The 18483-nt window shown below is 50.6% G+C and overlaps 1 protein-coding gene across 5 annotated transcripts in view, besides 7 other annotated features; it reads right to left on the bottom strand.

Annotated features, from left to right (window-relative positions):
- Positions 1125-1224: an enhancer, noted in NCBI's record as "active region_2417". NCBI's record gives its function as "activates an Ori minimal core promoter by ATAC-STARR-seq in GM12878 lymphoblastoid cells {active_cell/tissue: GM12878}" and the evidence as "EXISTENCE:reporter gene assay evidence [ECO:0000049][PMID:35858748]".
- Positions 4666-4775: an enhancer, noted in NCBI's record as "active region_2416". NCBI's record gives its function as "activates an Ori minimal core promoter by ATAC-STARR-seq in GM12878 lymphoblastoid cells {active_cell/tissue: GM12878}" and the evidence as "EXISTENCE:reporter gene assay evidence [ECO:0000049][PMID:35858748]".
- Positions 4866-4915: an enhancer, noted in NCBI's record as "active region_2415". NCBI's record gives its function as "activates an Ori minimal core promoter by ATAC-STARR-seq in GM12878 lymphoblastoid cells {active_cell/tissue: GM12878}" and the evidence as "EXISTENCE:reporter gene assay evidence [ECO:0000049][PMID:35858748]".
- Positions 6682-6791: a silencer, noted in NCBI's record as "silent region_1766". NCBI's record gives its function as "represses an Ori minimal core promoter by ATAC-STARR-seq in GM12878 lymphoblastoid cells {active_cell/tissue: GM12878}" and the evidence as "EXISTENCE:reporter gene assay evidence [ECO:0000049][PMID:35858748]".
- Positions 6822-6871: a silencer, noted in NCBI's record as "silent region_1765". NCBI's record gives its function as "represses an Ori minimal core promoter by ATAC-STARR-seq in GM12878 lymphoblastoid cells {active_cell/tissue: GM12878}" and the evidence as "EXISTENCE:reporter gene assay evidence [ECO:0000049][PMID:35858748]".
- Positions 8526-8575: an enhancer, noted in NCBI's record as "active region_2414". NCBI's record gives its function as "activates an Ori minimal core promoter by ATAC-STARR-seq in GM12878 lymphoblastoid cells {active_cell/tissue: GM12878}" and the evidence as "EXISTENCE:reporter gene assay evidence [ECO:0000049][PMID:35858748]".
- Positions 11526-11715: an enhancer, noted in NCBI's record as "active region_2413". NCBI's record gives its function as "activates an Ori minimal core promoter by ATAC-STARR-seq in GM12878 lymphoblastoid cells {active_cell/tissue: GM12878}" and the evidence as "EXISTENCE:reporter gene assay evidence [ECO:0000049][PMID:35858748]".
- The window catches only part of MAPKAPK2 (MAPK activated protein kinase 2), a 49377-nt gene continuing 42954 nt past the window's right edge, over positions 12061-18483 (bottom strand). For 2 of the 5 annotated variants that reach the window (XM_005273353.4, XM_047434418.1), the window contains exons 2-11: positions 17493-17632; positions 17243-17307; positions 16867-16946; positions 16244-16370; positions 15579-15654; positions 15080-15204; positions 14617-14702; positions 14423-14503; positions 14258-14304; positions 12061-13767 (exon numbers count right to left, since the gene is read on the bottom strand). In XM_005273353.4, coding sequence (XP_005273410.1) covers positions 13758-13767; positions 14258-14304; positions 14423-14503; positions 14617-14702; positions 15080-15204; positions 15579-15654; positions 16244-16370; positions 16867-16946; positions 17243-17307; positions 17493-17632 — 837 coding nt within the window. In that variant the 3' untranslated portion in view covers positions 12061-13757. Of the gene's footprint in view, positions 14305-14422; positions 14504-14616; positions 14703-15079; positions 15205-15578; positions 15655-16243; positions 16371-16866; positions 16947-17242; positions 17308-17492; positions 17633-18483 lie in introns of all 5 variants that reach the window. The other 3 variants (NM_032960.4, XM_017002810.2, NM_004759.5) reach the window with 2 other exon arrangements.

Below are 18483 nucleotides of genomic sequence, written 5' to 3'. Positions count from 1 at the left end.
GAATTGGGAAAAATAATAGAGTTCTCTATGTTCTGGTAGTGAAGACTGATGAAATGTTATCTTTTTGCAACCACAATACCTAAAACAATTCCATCCCCTTAGTTTATGCTCTATATGTGGCTATTCAGAGGTTTGGAGTCAGTATATCTTTTAAGTAAAAAGTTTGCAAGGGTGGAGCATGGCAAATATTATGATTTGGTGATCTATGATTTCAGAAAGTTTGAGAAATAAACAAAAGTATCCTTTTGTGGGCCTCCAGCCCTGAGATTCTGTGACTCAGATATACCCCAGAATGCCCATGTCTCAACCTACTCTTCAATATGCCTGTTTAGGGACATGTGATACTAATATAAATACAGAGAGGAATTGGGACCCCGTAAGAATTGTGACACTCCACTTCTCCTATAAGCTTGAGGACCAAGGAATATACTCCTACCCCCACAATAGGGTTGTGGCCCAGGGTTGTCCTCAGAATGGCTCATTGGAGGAGCAGGGGTCTGAACATCTAGACAACAGCAGGTTTTACTATCCGGGTTTCAGCTCCACTTGGCTCCACTGAGTGAGGGCTTTTGGTATGTATCCTCCTCTCCCTACATTCTCATTGTTATTTTCCTATTTCCTTGATTTTGTGCCACACAGAATACAATCACGCAAGCTTCCATTTGGGGAAAGTGGCATAAAATAAAATGCTAAATACAAACACATAGTAAAGTAAAAAAAAAAAAAAAACAGAAATTTGTTTAAATGATGCCACTGTTGTGTCTAGACAGAGACTGAGTCATTTAAATGTCTTCTCAGAGCATCTTATTTTTCTTTTCTTCTTTTTTTTTTAGGGCACTGCCACCCAGGCTGGAGTGCAGTGGTGGTTATCATAGCTTACTGCAGCCTTGAACTCCTGGTCTCAAGCAATCCTCCTGCTCTGCTTCCTAAAGCACTGAGATTACAGAAATGAGCCATTGCACCTGGCCTCCAGGCATCTTTTAACTCTCAGCTTTATCCATCCACTCATCCTATATTTACTGAGCATCATCTATGTGTTGGGCTTCATGACAAGTGCCAGGATGTGCATCCATGGGTTCAACCCTACTCCAAGGGCAAGCTGTCTGCTGCTTGCCCCTTCCAAGCTACACAAGCCTGTGGGCAATTTGTCTGCAGCAGCCCATACTTAGCCTGCTGGGACTGTGGGGTAAGGAATGAGATGGGCTGGAATGGTTAGTGCGGTTACCGCCACAGGACCCACTGAGGGCAGAACAAGAGGAAATGGGCAGAAAGAGCAGGAGGTATCTGGGTTTGACAGAGTGAATCCTTCCCTCTATTAGGGCAGGAGGAGCTGTCTCAGCTGATGGGGGAGCTAAAGAAATGGAAGTGCCAACTAACCTCCTCTAGGAGGGCTTCCCTGGATCTCACAGACTTCTGGGGACATGCTCCTGGTCCCACCCAGCACGTGCTGCTGTCGTTACCACAGCCCTTAGCACTGACTCATACAGCGCCTTGTGTTGTTCTCCACGAAACTGTCAAGTCAGGGAGGTTCATCTTCATTCTCTGCAAAGAGTACTGGATGCCAGCAATTTCCCACCAACCTTCAATAAGTAGCTGAGAGCTGCTATATGCCAGGCACTGGGATGTGTCCATGGATAAAACAGACACAAATCCCTGCCCTTGTGGAGGTTACATGCTAGCCATTATAAACAAGTTATACAGATTTTTAGAAGGTGATCAGATCTATGGGGGAAAATTAAGTAGGATAACTGTGTGTATGTACACAGTAATTCAATAAAAACGATTTTTTAAAATAGAGCCATGAAGGGTTACAGAGAATGCCCAGAGTGAGGAGTCAAAGGTGGGAGGAAAAATTGCAGTTCTAAATCAGACAATAAGGGTAGGTGTCATTGAAAAAGTGACACGTGGCCAGGGGGCAGTGGCTCACATCTGTAATTCCAGCACTTTGGGAGGCTAAAGCGGGTGGGTAACTTGAGGTCAGGAGTTCGAGATCAGCCTGGCCAACATGGTGAAACTCCGTCTCGACTAAAAAATACAAATAGTAGCCGGGCCTGGTGGCGGGTGCCTGTAATCCCAGCTACATGGGAGGCTGAGGCATAAGAGTCACTTGAACCCAGGAGGCGGAGATTGCAGTGAGCCAAGGTCGCACCACTGCACTCCAGCCTGGGAGACAGAGCGAGACTCCCTCTAAAAAAAAAAAAAAAAAGAAGAAAGAAAAGGAAAGAAAGAAAGGAAGGAAGGAAGGAAGGAAGGAAGGAAGGAAGGAAGGAAGGAAGGAAGGAAGGAGGAAAGAGAAAGAAAGAAAGAAAGAAAGAAAGAAAGAAAGAAAGAAAGAAAGAAAGAAGGAAGGAAGGAAGGAAGGAAGGAAGGAAGGAAGGAAGGAAGGAAGGAAAGAAAGAGAAAGAAAGAAAGAAAGAAAGAAAGAAAGAAAGAAAGAAAGAAAGAAAGAAAGAAAGAAAGAAAGAAAGAAAAGAAAGAGAAAAGTGACATGTGAACAAAACTCAAAATGAGTTGTGCTGGTAACTGAGGAATGTTCCACCGCAAGGACCTGGAGGATGGAAAGAGTGGCTTCTGCCCCACCCGTCCAGCTCTGCAGCTCCGCGAACTTTGCAGGTCCCTAAGCTGTGGCTTGGCCTTGAGCCTCTCTGAGCTTCAAATGCTTTCGCTGCTTCCCTTTTGCCTTTGGGTGGTGTCCCAAGGAGGCGATAAACCACTGTTGAACCTCAGGGTCCTGTACTACAAAGGATTGTTTCCTAGGTACTTAATCAAGCTGAGCCTCAGTTTACAAATCTATAAAATGGGGATAATTATTTCACTTCCTTATGGAGTCGTTGGAGATCAAAAATCCAAAAGAAAAGAAAGACTCACAAGGGGGAACTGGCAGTCTCTGAACTGAGCTGAGAGGCTCTTCATAGGGCTTTAATTTAGGAACTGGGCTAAAGGTTAATACTGATTCGCTATCTCATTCTCACAACAGCGCTATAACAAAGATGCTCTTAAATCACTGTTTTTACTAATTGGGGAATTGACGCATACAAACACTGAGGGCTCTGAGCTGCTGGGTGCTAGAGCAAGACCATGAATCCAGATCTGTAGGAATCTAGGGTTGCAGCCTACACACCACACAACCTCTTTTGAATCTCTCAAGCCAAATTTTCTTTGGTGGTGTGAGCAGGAAGAGCCAGGTTCTAAAACCTAAACTAGACACCGCTCTTCTCACATTTCCTCCCAATCAGCCCTAATCTCTGTGGCCTCCTTTGCTGGGATACAACCCAGCGGTTTTCTCTGCTGCATTCTTAAAAGAGAACGATACCCCCCAAAGCCGAGGACCTGATTAATTTGGGCGACTGTGGGAGGGAGAGAAGGGGAGGCATTCTTAGAACTGGGGCCTAGGCTGGGGATGGCGGGCTCCACTTTCGGCACATTCTAGAGACCATGGGCATGGGGGTTTTGAGAGAAACCTGTGACTCACCTCGCCTCTCATGGTCTGTTTCACTCGGAGGCTCACTGTCTTCCCATCATCCTCCCTCAGCCCCCACCGCCAACACTACCCGGCTGCCAGCACCCCTCAGTGACCCACCCACCTACTCCTGCTACCTCCCAGCAAGCCTACAGCTCAGCAGGGCAGGGGCTCCTCTCTGCGGGGCTAAAGAGCTACAAATCCACTGAGTCTGAACGTCCCTGCAGCAGACCCCTGTAGCAGCCTCCCTTCTCAGCAAAAGCCACACGGCGTTAATCACCTTTATCCCAAAAAGAGGAGTCCGGGGCCAGCCTAGGGAGTTAAGAGTAACAACTGCCACTCTTATATAAAGGGCACATGTGAGGGGATAGAGAACTCGGGAGATAGAGCAGGGAAGGGGCAGGAAAGCAGGTTTCTTGACTTCTAAATGCAGTCTCCTAAGTTAAATTAACCTGCTCACACTGGTACAATGATGGCTACAGTACCCACTGTATAATGCATGAGAATATATGATAATAATGAGTGCTAACTATGTGCCAGGCTGAGGCTTTTCCATAATCGTTTATATAACTATGCTAAGTCTTTCATATGATTTTTTTACCTGATTTTTCATTTAGTCCTCACCACCTTCTAAGGTTGGTGATAATATTGTAGTCTAGATTTTCCAAGAAGCAGATGCCAAAACAGGATTACACATACAAGGGTTCAGTTAGGGGAAATTTCTTTATGAGAGAAAATAGGGAGTGTGAAGCGAGGCTGGGGAACCACCGGTGTGTGACCCCACTAAGGAAAGAGGGAGAGGAGGATGTGCACAAGGGCCCCAGGCACAAGTGTCTATGAAGTTGCCAGGGGCAAAGCTGGCCATCCTTCGAGTCCTGGTTCTCCCAGGAACGGGTGCGTCTTCACATCCCTGTTGTACTGTCATTGACTGGGAGCACGAGAAAGGAAGTGTGGCCTCCACACAAATGAGACAATGAATTTCAGAGTGCCATAGCTGGGGCCCTTGGACAAATAAGCTCCCCATAATAGGAGGTCTCTGGGGCACATGTTCATGGGTGCCTCAATAATAATTCCCATTTTACCGGTTGACAAGCTGAGGCTCAGAGAGGACAAGTCATCTGCTCATAGTTGGGACCCAGCTTAGAGTAACTCCAAAGATTTATCTTTGTGCCATATGCAACTGAGCTACTGACCACCACATCCCAAGCCATCCCCAAGACTGATGCCTCAGATTCGGTACCCAGCAGAGGGCTGGGCACACAATCAGTGTCACATTGGGAGGCAATGTGGCTGAGCTCCTGTCTAGTGAGCTCCTGTATAGTGGGTCCTGCATGTGTCCTGTGTGCCCCACAACACCTACAACCCGGAGTCAAAGCCGCCTCCTCCTCCCTGCTATTCCTAACCAGAGGCGTGCCTCCTCTGTAACTTCCCACAGCACTCTGGGCCTCTCTTACAGCACCCACCAGAGTCAGCCTTATGTCACTTATGTTATGTGCACACTTGTCATCCCCCACAGGCATTTGCATGCCAGTCAGAGAAGCAGGTAGCCCGGTCAAGATCAAACACCAGGAGGCCAAACAAGGCTGAACCTCAGATTTTTGTCTTTGAGCCATTCTGCCTACATGCCCAAAATGTATGCAAATAACCATAATTGAGTGAGCAGGGCCACTGATATGGGGAGATGTTGAAGGAATCCCCTAAACCCCTCTACAGCTGACTTTTCCACTCGCCCACAATGTGGCCAAGGGTCTACATCTATCAGTTTTGGGAAGTGCTATAAATGCCCTTTTACTCTCGGCTGACTGACTCTACCCCCAGATTTGCTGCTGACAGCAAACCCTTTCGTAAAGCTCTCACTTGGAAAGCAATATGCAAAGTGCATTCATTCATAAATCGATACTGTCTTTTTGGCAGTCCCTATCAAAAACTAAAATGTGTATACCCTTAGATCTTGCCATTCCACTACTAGGGATCTATACTACAGAAATCCTTACACACACACTCGAAGATACTGTACAAGATATTTGTGAGATCTATATAAATAGTAGAAAAAGGGGGGGAGGGTAGTCCTTCAGTGCAAATGAGGTTAAAAGACAAATAAAAAAGAAAGGAGGTGAGAAATATCCATCCACAGCAGATAAATTGTGGTACATCATACTATAAAATACTCTGCAACTATTTAGAAAAAGAATGATAGTTCTATGAGTTTGATCATGGAAATTCACAAGATATGCTAAGTGAAAAAAGCAAGCTGTATGTTGTTTCATGGGTATGAAAAAGTCTGTCAGTTGCACAACAATGTGAACATACTAGTGAAGTTTACAGTTAAAAATGTTTAAGATGGTAAATTTTCAGTTAAGTGTATTTTATCACAATTTTTTAAAAGCAGGTTGCAGAACAATATGCCTAATGATTCCATTTGTACTTGTTATAACTGCCAAAGAAACTTCTCAGTTGTGCTTATAAGTATATTTGTATCTAGATAAATTTTCAGAAACTTTTTGGATAAAAATTTCAAAAAAAATAAAGCTGTTCAATGAAGTTTTTTCTGGAGAGGGAATTGGCATCACTGAGGTGGAGACGTTATAAAGAGAAAGGTTCACGCCTCACTCTGTATGTCTATATATGTACATATAATGTCTTGTTTGAGTTACTAAAATTACTTGTGTTAATTTTCCTTTAGATGCTTTCATCCATCCAACAGATACTAAGCACCTACCCTGAGTCAGCTGTCATTTTCAGAGCCTGAAATAAGCCGATCAGACTGAATTTCTCGTCTACCCTTTCTCTTCCTTGCACACTGGCTCAAAGAATGCCTGGCTGTCATCCTTCCCCTCCTGCCCTCGACCCTCCTGTGGGTGGGTAGGGCTAGAGTCTCACTATGAGGACCATTTCCTTAGAATAGGTTTGTGACCAGAAAAGGAGACAGCTGAGTGCCAGAAAACCAAAGGCCCCTCTAGGTCTTACTACAAATACCAGGTCTCTCTGCACCACAGACTCCAGCTAACCAAGGTCTCTGTCTTAGACTTAGATGAGATCGTGGTTTCTTTCAAAAGTAAACCTTTGACTGGTGAATTCAGAACCACATGTCTCCAGATCAGAAGGTAAGGGCTAGGAGAACTCAGCTCATTCTGAAACTTGAGGCCTTATTACCCCAAGAGGCAGTAGCTGTTTGAGGAACAAGAGACCCACAGCTGCCTGGACAGAGGAAGGAGCAAGATCACGTTTCACACACTCGGACAGCAGTAGTCAGAGCTAGTAACTGCCCGGGGCTAGGACCAGAGCCACCCAGACAGGATGCTCATTTGCATAACTTGTACAGATACTTTGCATATCAGGGTCCTGGAAACACTACTACCCTAGGATCAGAGAGGTTGAGACTAGTATTTGGTCACACAGGACCTCAGAGACAAAACCAAAACCAAGGGGTGGGGGAGGACTTAGGAAGGGAGGACTCATGAAGGGGGAAAGTGGAAAGTCAGTCCTGGTATTTCACTTGCAAATCCTGGCAGGGGTGTGGGATGGCAGTAGGAAACTTTACTGTCCCTGAGAGCAAGAAAGTTATGCAAACAAATGCATTTGCATGGCAGCCCTGGTCCCTAAAAATGACTTATCAAACACAGGTTCCACCACCTTGGCAGCCCCACCTGAAATCCTGCAGGCTTGACAGCCAAAAGACTTCCTGGCCAGAGGCTCTGGGCAGTAACTTACCTTCCAAGCAATTATGACTCCCTCTAGAGGAGACAAGTAAATTCCAAGGTAATTCTGGGTTCCAGATGGTGGTGTGTTAAAAATGGAAAGGGTGGACGCCAAGTATATTGACATTTTTGTGTGTGAGTGCCAGGGAGGCTCCCAAGGGCTCCACTTTTAAACTGAGTGGAGTAAGAACCATGAGGACAAAGGGATGAGAAAGGCCTTTTAGTGGCAGAGGGAAGAGGGGCAAGGAAGCCCCTAACAATTGCTCATCCTGCTCTTCCAGGAGGGCTCTCAATTTCATGTAATGTCATCATTTTCCATGATGATTCAGAAAGTGCCTAACTACAAAAGATCTAAGTTTAAGGTGTACCACTGTAACACTTTTTAAAAAATTAATGAATTGAGTGAAACGTGGCAAAAGCCCCATCAGCCCACATCCCCAAATTTTGTTTTTCAGGGAGCAAACATCATTTATGAGGCAAATCCAAGTTGGAGGGGCTGGAAAGGGAAAATGGACAGAAAACACCAAGGGCACCCCACAGAGAGGAGTAAATCAGATTTCCATGAGCAGAACCCATGAGGGGTCAAAGGTCAAGCTAACGAGATGAGCAGACAGACAGCAGTTCAGACCACAAGACAGGAGGGGTGAACCTGTTGGAGAAGGAAGGATCTAGCTCTTGCAGAGAGAAGTGAGAGCAGAAATGCAATGGGGAAATCTCCATCATGCTATTCCATTTTCTGCCATCAAAACTGTCAGTCAGGTGCCAGCTTGAAGGGCTGCTAGGAAGCTCTCCTGGGTCTCTAACAGAATAGCTCCACCTTATGCACTCCAACCACCTCTGCTCCTGTTCTGGAGAGCATCAGTTCTTCTGTTACAGCGATGCCCGCCACTTCTCTATGCTGAGCTCCACAAAGGCTAGACCCACTTCTGGACTCATCTGTGTGTCTCCGAAGTCCTAAGCACTGGGCATGACACAGAGGAGGTGCTCAAGATGAGCTGAATGTTGAAAATGTGACATTTTTACTCTTGGATAGTGGCTGAAGGTCTTCTTTTTAAAGAGCAGCCTAGGCTGAAAAGGCCAAGGCACTGACCTGTCTGAATGGTGGCCCAGAGCCCAGGGGGCAGTCCTATCTTTCCACACGAGTTGCACTTCCCCCACCTTTCCAAGTCTTGGCACAGCCTCATTTAATCTTCACATGCCTGGGTGGGGGAGGACTGAAATCCTCCCCAACAAGGCATAGATGTGAGATCTTCGTCCAGAGGACGAGGATCCAGGGTGTGGTTTATTTTGTCATTTTGGTTTTTTCACCTCACTCATGCTCATCTGAAAACCTCTGGGGCCCTAAGAGGCTGCCCTATGCCACCTGGGCTTGAATGACACATTGTTCTCAGTCTGGAACAGCCCCTAATGTGTCCAGGCCTGTGGGTACAGGGAAAGGGAAGACAAAGCCACTTGCTGCTGCACACAGGCATTTTGTATCTCCCCAACTAGGTTCTCAAGGGCAGGAACTGTGCCCTACACTTCATTTGTTTCTCCCAAAGCACAGGACATACACCAAGTGCCTGGATTATCTAGTGGTCGAGTATGCTGGGGAGCCACACTGTTCTGACTGAGTGCAGGGAGACGACAGGAAGATGAAGTGAGCAAAAGGACCCAGGGGCGGCTGGAGCCCCTAAATGTAGGCTTCCAGAGACAGAGCCCGAAAGGAGCTGCATTCTCAGGGCTGAGGATGCGGTGGCTGCCCCTCAAAGCCTCCCCTGTCCCCACTCTGCCCCACCTGGGGAGTGCCCAGAGGGTTTGTTTATATTCACCAGTAAGTGGGCCAGCCACTTTCCCCAGCCTCACCACCCTCACCCTCCTCCCTTGAATAACTGAATTTCCTTCACACCCTGAGCAGGCCCGACCTACCCGACCTACCTGCTACCCACTCTACCCACTCGTCACTCACAGCCTCCTGCATTTCCTGTCTCCAACCCAGTCAAAGGAAAACCCCAAATTTACTGTTATTGTTTACCAACCCAACTGCCTGCTCACCCCAAGGCACAGAGACCCGCCGTGAAGCTCAGGGCAGGAGCGTGGACCAGGCCTAGGCCACTGACTCGACTCCAAGCCTGGGGCTCCCTGTGCTCCCACTGCTGAGCAGCGCACTGAGGGGTGGGACCCTCCTGGTGATAAAGGCCACCTGGCAGCTGGCATTTTAGGAAGCATTTAAATCCACCATCTAGGCTGGGCACAGTGGCTCATGCCTGTAAGCCCAGCACTTTTTGGGAGGCTGAGGTGGCCGGATCACTGGAGATCAGGAGTTCGAGACCAGCCTGGCCAACATGGTAAAACCTCATCTCTTCTAAAAATACAAAAATTAGCTGGGCATGGTGGTATGTGCCTGTAATTCCAGCTACTCAGGAGGCCGAGGCAGGGGAATTCCTTGAACCTGGGAGGCGGAGGTTGCAGTGAGCCAAGATCACACAACTGCACTCCAGCATGGGTGATGGAGTAAGACTCTGTCTCAGATAAATAAATAAATCCACCATCTCACTGAATCCTTAAAACAGCCACAGGCCTAGGACTATCACCCTCATTCTATAGCAAAGAAAACTAGACCTTCCTCAGTGGAGTGGAATCCAGCCTCATATCTCCTCTCCTCCCCGCCCCCTCTGCACTCCCTTACCAAGACGATGTCCATGGGCTTTCTTAAAGAAGCTCTAAACTTGGAAACAGGAGATCCAGGTCAGAATCCCTGACTAGCTGTGTGATGCTGGGCGAGTCCCTTTACTCCTCTGAGTTGGAGTTTCTTACAGGTAAGCTGGAAACGAGACTGACTACCTCAGAGGGTTCTGATAATGAAGAGATGGAGGGGAAGAGCCCAGCATCGGTACTTGGTAGGGGCCCAGGAGTGTCTCTATGCTCCTCTTTACATCTCACACTACTTAAGGGTGTTCAAGAAGCACACCTGCTCCTGAACCCATGCAAGCCAGCATCTGCCTTTAGGGACAAAAGTTTCCATTGCCATCCCACCCAGGCATTTAGCAGAGGTGTTAAGCTCTCCCTAGAGACAGGGACTCGCAGGGCCATGCCAGCATGGAAGGTCAGGGACATGGGCATGGGGGTGAAAAGCTGTGGCAAGACCCCACTAACCATGCCAGACCCCTCCTGGCCCTTCGCCCCAGCCATTTTCCCTGAAAGCCAACCCCAGCCTGAATCCTTGCTGACCACAAAAGCATCCTCCTGAAATGGGCTGAGTCAGGGAAGGAAGCAAAACACAAGGGCCAACGTTGGGCATGAGGCCAAGAAGGCTGTGCAACGGGCCTCTGTGGCAGAATCCTGGCCCCCAGTGATGCCCATGTCTTGGTCCCCAGACTGTGGCTATGTTCCCTTACATGGCAAAGGGGACTTTGCAGATGGGATTACGGTTAAGGGCCCTGCAATGAGGAGATTATCCTGGATTATCTGAGTGGGCTCAATCTTATCACACCAGCTGGGTCAGAGAAGTGACCACAGAAGGATCAGAAAAATGCAAGGTTGCGGTTGAAGATGGAGAAAGGGGGTCATGACCCAAGGAATGCAGGAAGCCCCTAGAATTGATAAAGGCAAGGAAACACCCTCCAAAGAGGAATGCAGCCCTGCTGAGACCTGGACTCCAGCCAGCCTAGTGAGACCCTATCACACTCCTGACCTACAGAACAGGAATATCATAAATTTGTGTTGTTTTAAGCCATAAAATTAATATGGCAGAAGCTTTGTTAACAGGAAACTAATAACAGCTTCTAAAGATAGCAGAACTCTGACAACTTCCTCTCCTTCTCTCCCTGACTCCCTCCTAGCACCCCTTATTCCTCCTTCTTGGGTTATTGCTTCTAACACCTTCATAAGTGCAGACAAAATAAGTGGATTTCTCTGAAAGCAAACCCCCATGCTGGTTTGTTTTGAGCTGTGATTTTAGAGTGATGAGTAGTGTCTCAAGGCGAGAACCAACCTCAGCAACCCACTGTCATGAAGGGGAGGTCCAGGGCCTGCTGTTCCCAGGAGCTGAGGGTGGAGACATGGTCCTTCTGGCAGCAAAGGGGACAAGCAGGTCTCTCCTCCAGCGGGGAGAGGGATCTGAGTTCCAATCCCACCATGCAACTGTGGCACATCATCCCACCTTCTCAGTCACTTTCCTCACACATAAAACAGCAATCAGCAGCCGCCCTGTACTGTCTCTTGCTGGCAGCTCTGAGGGTCACATAAGAAAATGCGGGTGACACAGTGAAGGATGTGCTATTTTCCCATCTGACCCGGAGGGACTGCAATGGGGCAGGTAGCCCAGTTTCTACTTTAGGCTCTGCTGCGGGTCAAGTCATCATGTGGCCCCAGCTCTGGGCTTCAGTCTTCTCATCTGTGCACTGAGAATGGGCCACAGGAACCATGAAGTCTCTTCTAGCTCCGAGGTAGAGCCTTTGGTTTCTGCCTGACCCCTATCACCGCCTCCTGGAGAGTGCCGGTACTACACTAACCTGCTCCCCTGGTATCTTTACCAGGATTTCAACCAAATTCACCAGCACCCCCTCTTCCCTGGACCCTATACCAGCTGGCTTTCGCAGGCTAAAGGTGCCAGCACCTGGTGGTGGCTATGTAGGTCAAAGAATCATATGCCAAAAAGAGCTTGGCTCCTGATTCTGCATTTGGCAAAAGAAGATGGGCTTGAGCCCTTGCAGCCTCCCTGTCCTGCTTTAAGGATGCCCTACACACATCCTGCCCAGGTCCTCACCAATGAGGTGCTGGCTCCTGCTCGCCCAGGAGGCCCTCCGCTCCTCTCCCAGGACCCCCAACCCACACCCTCACCACCCAACAAAACCCCTCTGCACATAGAGGCGGTGGGGGGTAAGGCCTGAGCCCCAGGAAGAAAGAGAAAGAAAAACTCTCAACTATTAAATCTGTTTAGTAAAGACAATTTCGCTCATACAAAACAACAGTTTACAACAATCGAGTGCTGGACACACCATCTGAGACAAGGGAGGCGCTGCAGGCACCCAGCGCCTTCCCCCATACACAAAGACGACCCTGGGCGCCCCTCCACCACCTGCCCCTGAGGGAGAGGAAAGGTGAAGTATTCCTGCCACCTCTCCCTCCAAGGGAAGGGGGAGTGGGGGGCCATGGCACAGACAGCCTACCCCAGCTGCTCCTCATCTGTGCTGGGGGAGGCCCCTCCCCTCACCGGCCCCGAAGCTGAGTTGTTTGGGGTGATGGCAAATGGCTGATGGGCAAGGGGGCAAAGTCAGGACATCTTTGGTGCAAAGACTCCCCCTGACCCACCAGGCCACACAATGGAAATCTGAGGGAAGACTTCAAAAGTGGCCCTGCCTTTGCCCACAAGGGGTAGCTGGCTGATGCCCCAGAACCCAGGACAAACACAGGAAATGCAAAAGCTCTGCCAACAGAAGCTGCCCAGGCTCACCTACATGAGCTGGGCGGTGGCCCATGGAGAAATGGCTAAAAATTTAAGGAAAATAAACAAAAATGGGTTAATAATGGCAAGAAGGGGAAGTAGAGAGGTCATTCAGTAGATGAGTGCCTCAGAGGACCTAGGACCAGCACTAAGTGGGGGGAGGGGGGCCCTGGGGGCTGGGGGTCCAGTCTTCCTGATCGCAGTGCCAGTGCCCGGTCACTCCTCTCTGCCTCCCGGAACCCAGCTAATAGAGACAGGCCACAGAGGGCCTGTTTCAGAATCTGGGTGGGCTTCCCAGGCACTTTGGCAGGCTCAGTATGGGCAGGGCAGACCCAAGAAGGGAGAAGGTTCCTAAGCCCCAGCAGGGCCGTCTCCCTCTGCAGCCCTGCCTGCCCCTGGCCCCTCAAATGCACGATCCCAGGCACAGATCTGCGCACTCATACACACGTGTGCACACACACACACACACACACACACATACACTCACTCCTATTTGTCTGGCACACTGGAGATGTCTGAGGGCTCCGAGAGAGGAAGTGCGTGGCATCCTCCTCCAAGGTGGCCTTGAGCTCCCAGAACGCGTGAGCCAGCGGGGACAACCCCAGGCTGTTGTGGAGAAACAGGGAGGGCAGATGGGACAACACAGGGACAATCCCTATGACAGTTTCCACAAATACCCTCTAACAAACCACAAGCCTTTGCAGTATCCAGAGAGGAAGGCGTCTGGTGGAGAGGAGTGGGGCAAGGACAACAAAAGAGGTTTCGTAAAAACTCTAAGTCAAATTACTGATAAAATTGCAAAATGAGCACAGGTTCAAGAGCACCTTGCTCACTTCTCTCCACAGCCTCCCAACCTCCCAGCCTCTCCCACTCTGGGGTGGCCAGAACCAAGGCAGAATTCAGTCACTGATGCAGTTCCAGGCTCCATGCAGCTGAGGAGGAGAGGAGGCAGATGTGGACAGTTCTGTCTCTTCGTTTAAAAAATATATTCCTGTAGAGAGTTATTGCTTGTCCTCCCGTGGGCAGGAGGGCGCGGTGGCTCAGTGGGCCAGAGCCGCAGCCTCCAGGGCCCGAGCTTTCTTCCGCCTCTTCAGCAGCAGAGGGTTGGATGCATCTTCAATCTTTTTTATCTTGATCTGCTCGTAGTCAACGCGCATTGTGGCCAAGGCACTGGTCATCTCCTCCTGGGGGCACGGCAGCACCAGGAAGGGTACAGAGAGAGCCAGAAGACAGGTAGGAGAGACAGCAGAAGAGAGACGTGAGAGACAGAGACAACAAGGGCAGGGTGAGGGCGGCAGGGGTGGGAGCAGAGAGAGAAGACGGGCTGGTTAGTGGTCCACGCTGACAACGGCAGCCTCACCCCAGCGCTGGGCAGCAGAGAGCCTGGCTATGGCACTGCTGCTGTTCCCTGAGAGCCCCCCAGTGATCCCGCAGGATAGGAGGAAGAGACTTGGGCCAGGAGTCAGGAAACCTGGGTCCGGTCTGCCCCAACCAGTCACCAGCTGCGTGACCTTGAGCAGACTGCCCTCCGCCTCTGGGCCTCAGTTTCTCTTCTGCAAAATGAGAAGATGATACCAGATGGTCTTTAAGGTCCCATTAGAGACCCAGGGAATAAAAGGATTCTAAGAAACAGCACTGAGTTTGGACAGGAACACAGAATCCTCTGCTCACAACCTGGTCAGCCAAGTGGCCTGGTCGCTGTTCTTGTCATGAAGACACCCCTGGGATGAGAGAGGCAGAATCAAGCTCTCCCCTACCAGCACCACGCCTCACACCTGGGCACTCCCCGCAAGCCGCCCACCCCACCTGGAGCCCCTCTCACCCAGTGGTGCCCCTCACCTTGACATCCTCCCACCGCTCCTTGTCCTCCTTCAGGACCCGGCTGGTGTGCAGTGGGGTTTGAGGGACCTTTGTTGATTGCTGAGAAGAGAGAAAAGGGGTCCGAGTGAAAGCCTGGGGTAGGGTCCTGGCTAAGACTCTGTCCTGTGGAATAGTCCCGTGAGACCCAAGGCTCCCCAGCCTGCCGAGCTTACCATGATCCAAGGGTGGTTCATAAACTCGGTGATGGTCATTCTCTGGGTGGGCTCTGTTTTCAGCAGATTCCGAATGAGCATCTTCACTGTGGGGTGGGACAGGGGGCAGTGACAGCTCAGGGGTCACTCTCCCTGGCCTGCTCCTTTCCCCAGTTTTCATGGGGAAACCAGGTTCAAAGAGGGGGTGCATGGAGGCAGGCTGCCGGAGCAACTGGCCCCAAGGACCATTACGGCTGTACCACTTGAGAGGCCCTGCACAGCCCCACAGCCTTGGCCCTGCCTCCAGCCCTCCACACAGGCAAAATGAAGCAGGACGCACCCCGCAGGCGTGGGCATAGGTGCTAACCCACAGTTACACCACGCACATGAGATGGAGGCCCATACATGTGTCTGCGTGTACACACATACACACACACACACACACACGGGCTCTTCCCCTTGTCCTGAAAGCCTGGGTTCTTACCTTCCTCTGATACTTCTGACCATTCTGGGTTGGGAAATTCATACTGGCCCATTCGGATGCGAGTCTTCATGCCCGGAGAGATGGCAAGGCCGTGGTTGGAGTAGAAGGGGGGATACCCACACAGCCTGCATCAACAGGAGGAAGGAAGTGGGAGACAGAACAGCTGTCACTTAGTGGCCCTGTACCAGGAACAGGATGAGAAACAGGCTCTTCTCCTTGTAAAGGTCACAGAGAAATCAGGGCTTATTGACACAGGCACAATATACAAAGTCAAGCCCGGGGCCCGGGAATCCAGCATAGCAAGTATCTAAGGCGCACACTTTCCAGCCCATGAGCTGGTTTACACCCGCCACTTAGCTATCGGAACTGAGAGAAGGGGCACGCAGGGGACTCCCCTGTACAAAGGGGAATGCTAACGTCTGCCTCTTCCTCTTGTCCTGGAGAAGTACAGGCCGCCCTGACTCCCTGCCCCACCCAGCCCCCTCCCCAGCACACTCACAGGATGTACATGATGACACCCAGGGACCACATGTCACAGGACTTGTCATACTTCTCTGGACCCAGCACTTCTGGAGCTGCAAATCAAAGGTCAACATGGGTGGGCCGGCCCTCAGAACCCTGTGATCCACTCAGTTTCTCTGTGAAAGATGCTCCCCATCCCAACCTTTCAGCCTATCATGAGGTGGCAGCAGTTGGGGCACAGAAGGAAGAGCCAAAGCCCAGCCCAGGGACTGGAACAGAACATCCTCCTCCATGAGGAACCTGGAACTAGGAGCTTAAGATTCTAAAAATCCTGAACTGCATGAGACTTTCAGGCCCATGCCGTTCATTTAATTTCACAGATGCTCTGAACATGCTTTGAAAGCTTCTTCCATGCCAATCAGCTGTGGCTCCAGAACAAGACCTGGGTCCAGACTCCATGGAGAATCTGATGGAAACCATGGCTCTTCTCAGAAAGATCCCAGCAGATCCTTTCCTACAATTTCTCAACTGTAGCTTCGCTCTGACAAGCCCTACTTCTCAGCAGGTCCCAGCAGAACCAGCACCAGAAGGGGCCATACAGACACAACTCTCCTAGGATTTGCGGCCCCCCAGATAGCCAAGAGGAGGGGCTGAGAAAAGTTCTGGGAAAAGCCTAGGTCCCTGGGCCCCCTGTGGACTTACCCACATAGTACGGTGTATAACAAGGAGTGGTCAAAGAGTTGTGGCTGGTGGTTTCCTTGGCAAAGCCAAAGTCAGTGAGTTTCAGGATGGCGTTGGGCCTTTTGGAGGTGTATAAGAGATTCTCAGGCTACAGAAAGAGAGACAGAAAAATAGCAACCCTGCTGGACCTGGGAGGGGCTATCAGAAACGAAAAGGATCCTGGTTCCTCCCTTCCTCTACTCATCCAGCAACCATTTGCCTATCCTGGGCACTGCCCACCACGAGGAGTGGCAGCTCTCTATGGGCAGGTGCCTGCCTCTGCAGGGTTTCCAGAGTGCCTGGAGATAACAGACTGACACACAGAACCCGCAGTAAACACCACAGGAACAGAGAAACCAAGAGTGTGACTGAGGGGTTCTGCCTGAGGAGAACCACAGGGCTGAGTGGGGCCAGAGAATGCTTCACTACTGGGTTTAGGGGTTTGCCCATGGGCAGAGAGGGCAAGGCCCTACAAGGCAGAGAATGGCATGCTCAGGAACCAGGCAGCAAGGACGCAGGGTGGCCTGGCAACCATCTCTGGGGTGGCCACAGCCCCTTTGTTGCCCCCCACAGCACTCGGGCTCAGGGTTATGAACAGCTGGCACCTTGACATCCCGATGGGCAATGTTGATTGAATGCAGATACTGGATGGCCTCACCGATGCTCTTCATGATTTCGGATGCTTCTGTAGAGGGGAGGGAAGAGTGAGTGGGAAAGAAAGTCACAAAGACACATCATTAGGCTTGAAAACCCAGTGCACCGGGTCCCACCTCTGTGCAGCCTGAGGCTCCCCACAGCCACCACCCACCCCAGAAACAAAGCCACCAGGAGCTTCCCTGGTCAGCTGAGGCACCCCTTGCAGCATGCTGGAGGGGGCAGCAGCCTCAGCACCCTTCCCCAAGAGCAGGCACTGCAAAGGCCCCCTTCAGACCCCCACTGCCCTGCCTGCCTGCACGTGCTCCCACAACAGACCCTTTCTACCTCTTTCTGTGAATGCCTGGTCTCCTCGATCCTGGATTCGGCTAAAGAGTTCTCCACCGTCCAAACTGAAATGAAGCCACAGTGAGATCCAGAGAACACAACAGCCCGCCGCCACTCTCCACTGCCCCCCAAAAAATCAAGTGTTTACATTCCAGGCTTCAGGCCCATCCCTGGGCTGTCCTCAGAGGGTAAGGTGCCTGAGTGAGGAGTGGGAACAGGCTGGGCCGGGACTAGAACAGTGGCTGCTTACCATTCCATGACAATCAGCAGGCACTTCCTCCCTGCGTACAGATTCTCGTACACATCCACGATCCGTACGATGTGCGGGCACTGGGAGGCCCGCCAGTGCAGCTCCACCTCCCTGCGGGCCTTGGGGCAGTCCTGAAGCATCTGCAGGCCAAACAGCTTTCTGAGTAACTGCGCTGTCACATGGGCCTGCTCTAAGCCCCTGGCCCACATGCCCTGACATCGCCACCGACATACCACAAACCCCCCACTCCTGCTGGCCCCCCCCACCAGCCCCCTTGGCACATTTCCTGAGGCCTCTGCAGTTCCTTATCTGCTCTATATGAAATCTCATGATGACTCTCTTGGGGCCTTGACAGCTACACTGAGATCAGCCCTCAGGCCATTCGGTCCAGCTTAGACCTGTCTCCAGCTTAGGCCATAAAGTCTACTGTGGAAGGCAGGCAGCACTCAGGTACTGGGAAGCAGGGGGTGAAGGGGCTTCGGGGAGAAAGGCAGACTGAGAAAAACCAATACAGTATTGGAAAGGGGGCTAGAGAGAAGAGAGACTCCAGAGTCCATAGGAAAAGGCCCCTCAGCAATTACTCAGACCCAGCACAACAAATCCAGAGCAATATTCTCTCTACCTCTGTAGTTGACTTCAACCTGGCAACAGATGGCCTTGGAAGTCAGCCGGATGCCAGTATGAATCCAGTTATTACTAGATTTCCAAGCTTGAGCAAGTTACTTAACTCGTCGAACCTCACTGATGCCCCTTCTTCTCCCTGGACCAATTGGCTAGGGGTATTAAAGGAGGCTGGCTTCTCACCAGCCTCAGGGGTTCAATCTTGACCTGTCTAAGCCAGTCTCATTAATTCCAGTCCCTTTGCTAGTGACTGGCTTGGGAACAAGCCTACAACTCAACTGGCCAAGAGCCTTGTAAGAAATCTGCTGCCGGGCACGGTGGCTCGTGCCTGTAATCCCAGCACTTTGGGAGGCCGAGGCAGGCAGATCAC

Source organism: Homo sapiens, chromosome 1, assembly GCF_000001405.40.
Source record: "Homo sapiens chromosome 1, GRCh38.p14 Primary Assembly".
In the NCBI taxonomy this organism is placed as follows: Eukaryota; Metazoa; Chordata; class Mammalia; order Primates; family Hominidae; genus Homo; species Homo sapiens.
The sequence above is the reverse complement of the archived record's forward strand: the minus strand, read 5'-3'. Positions and strand labels throughout refer to the sequence as shown.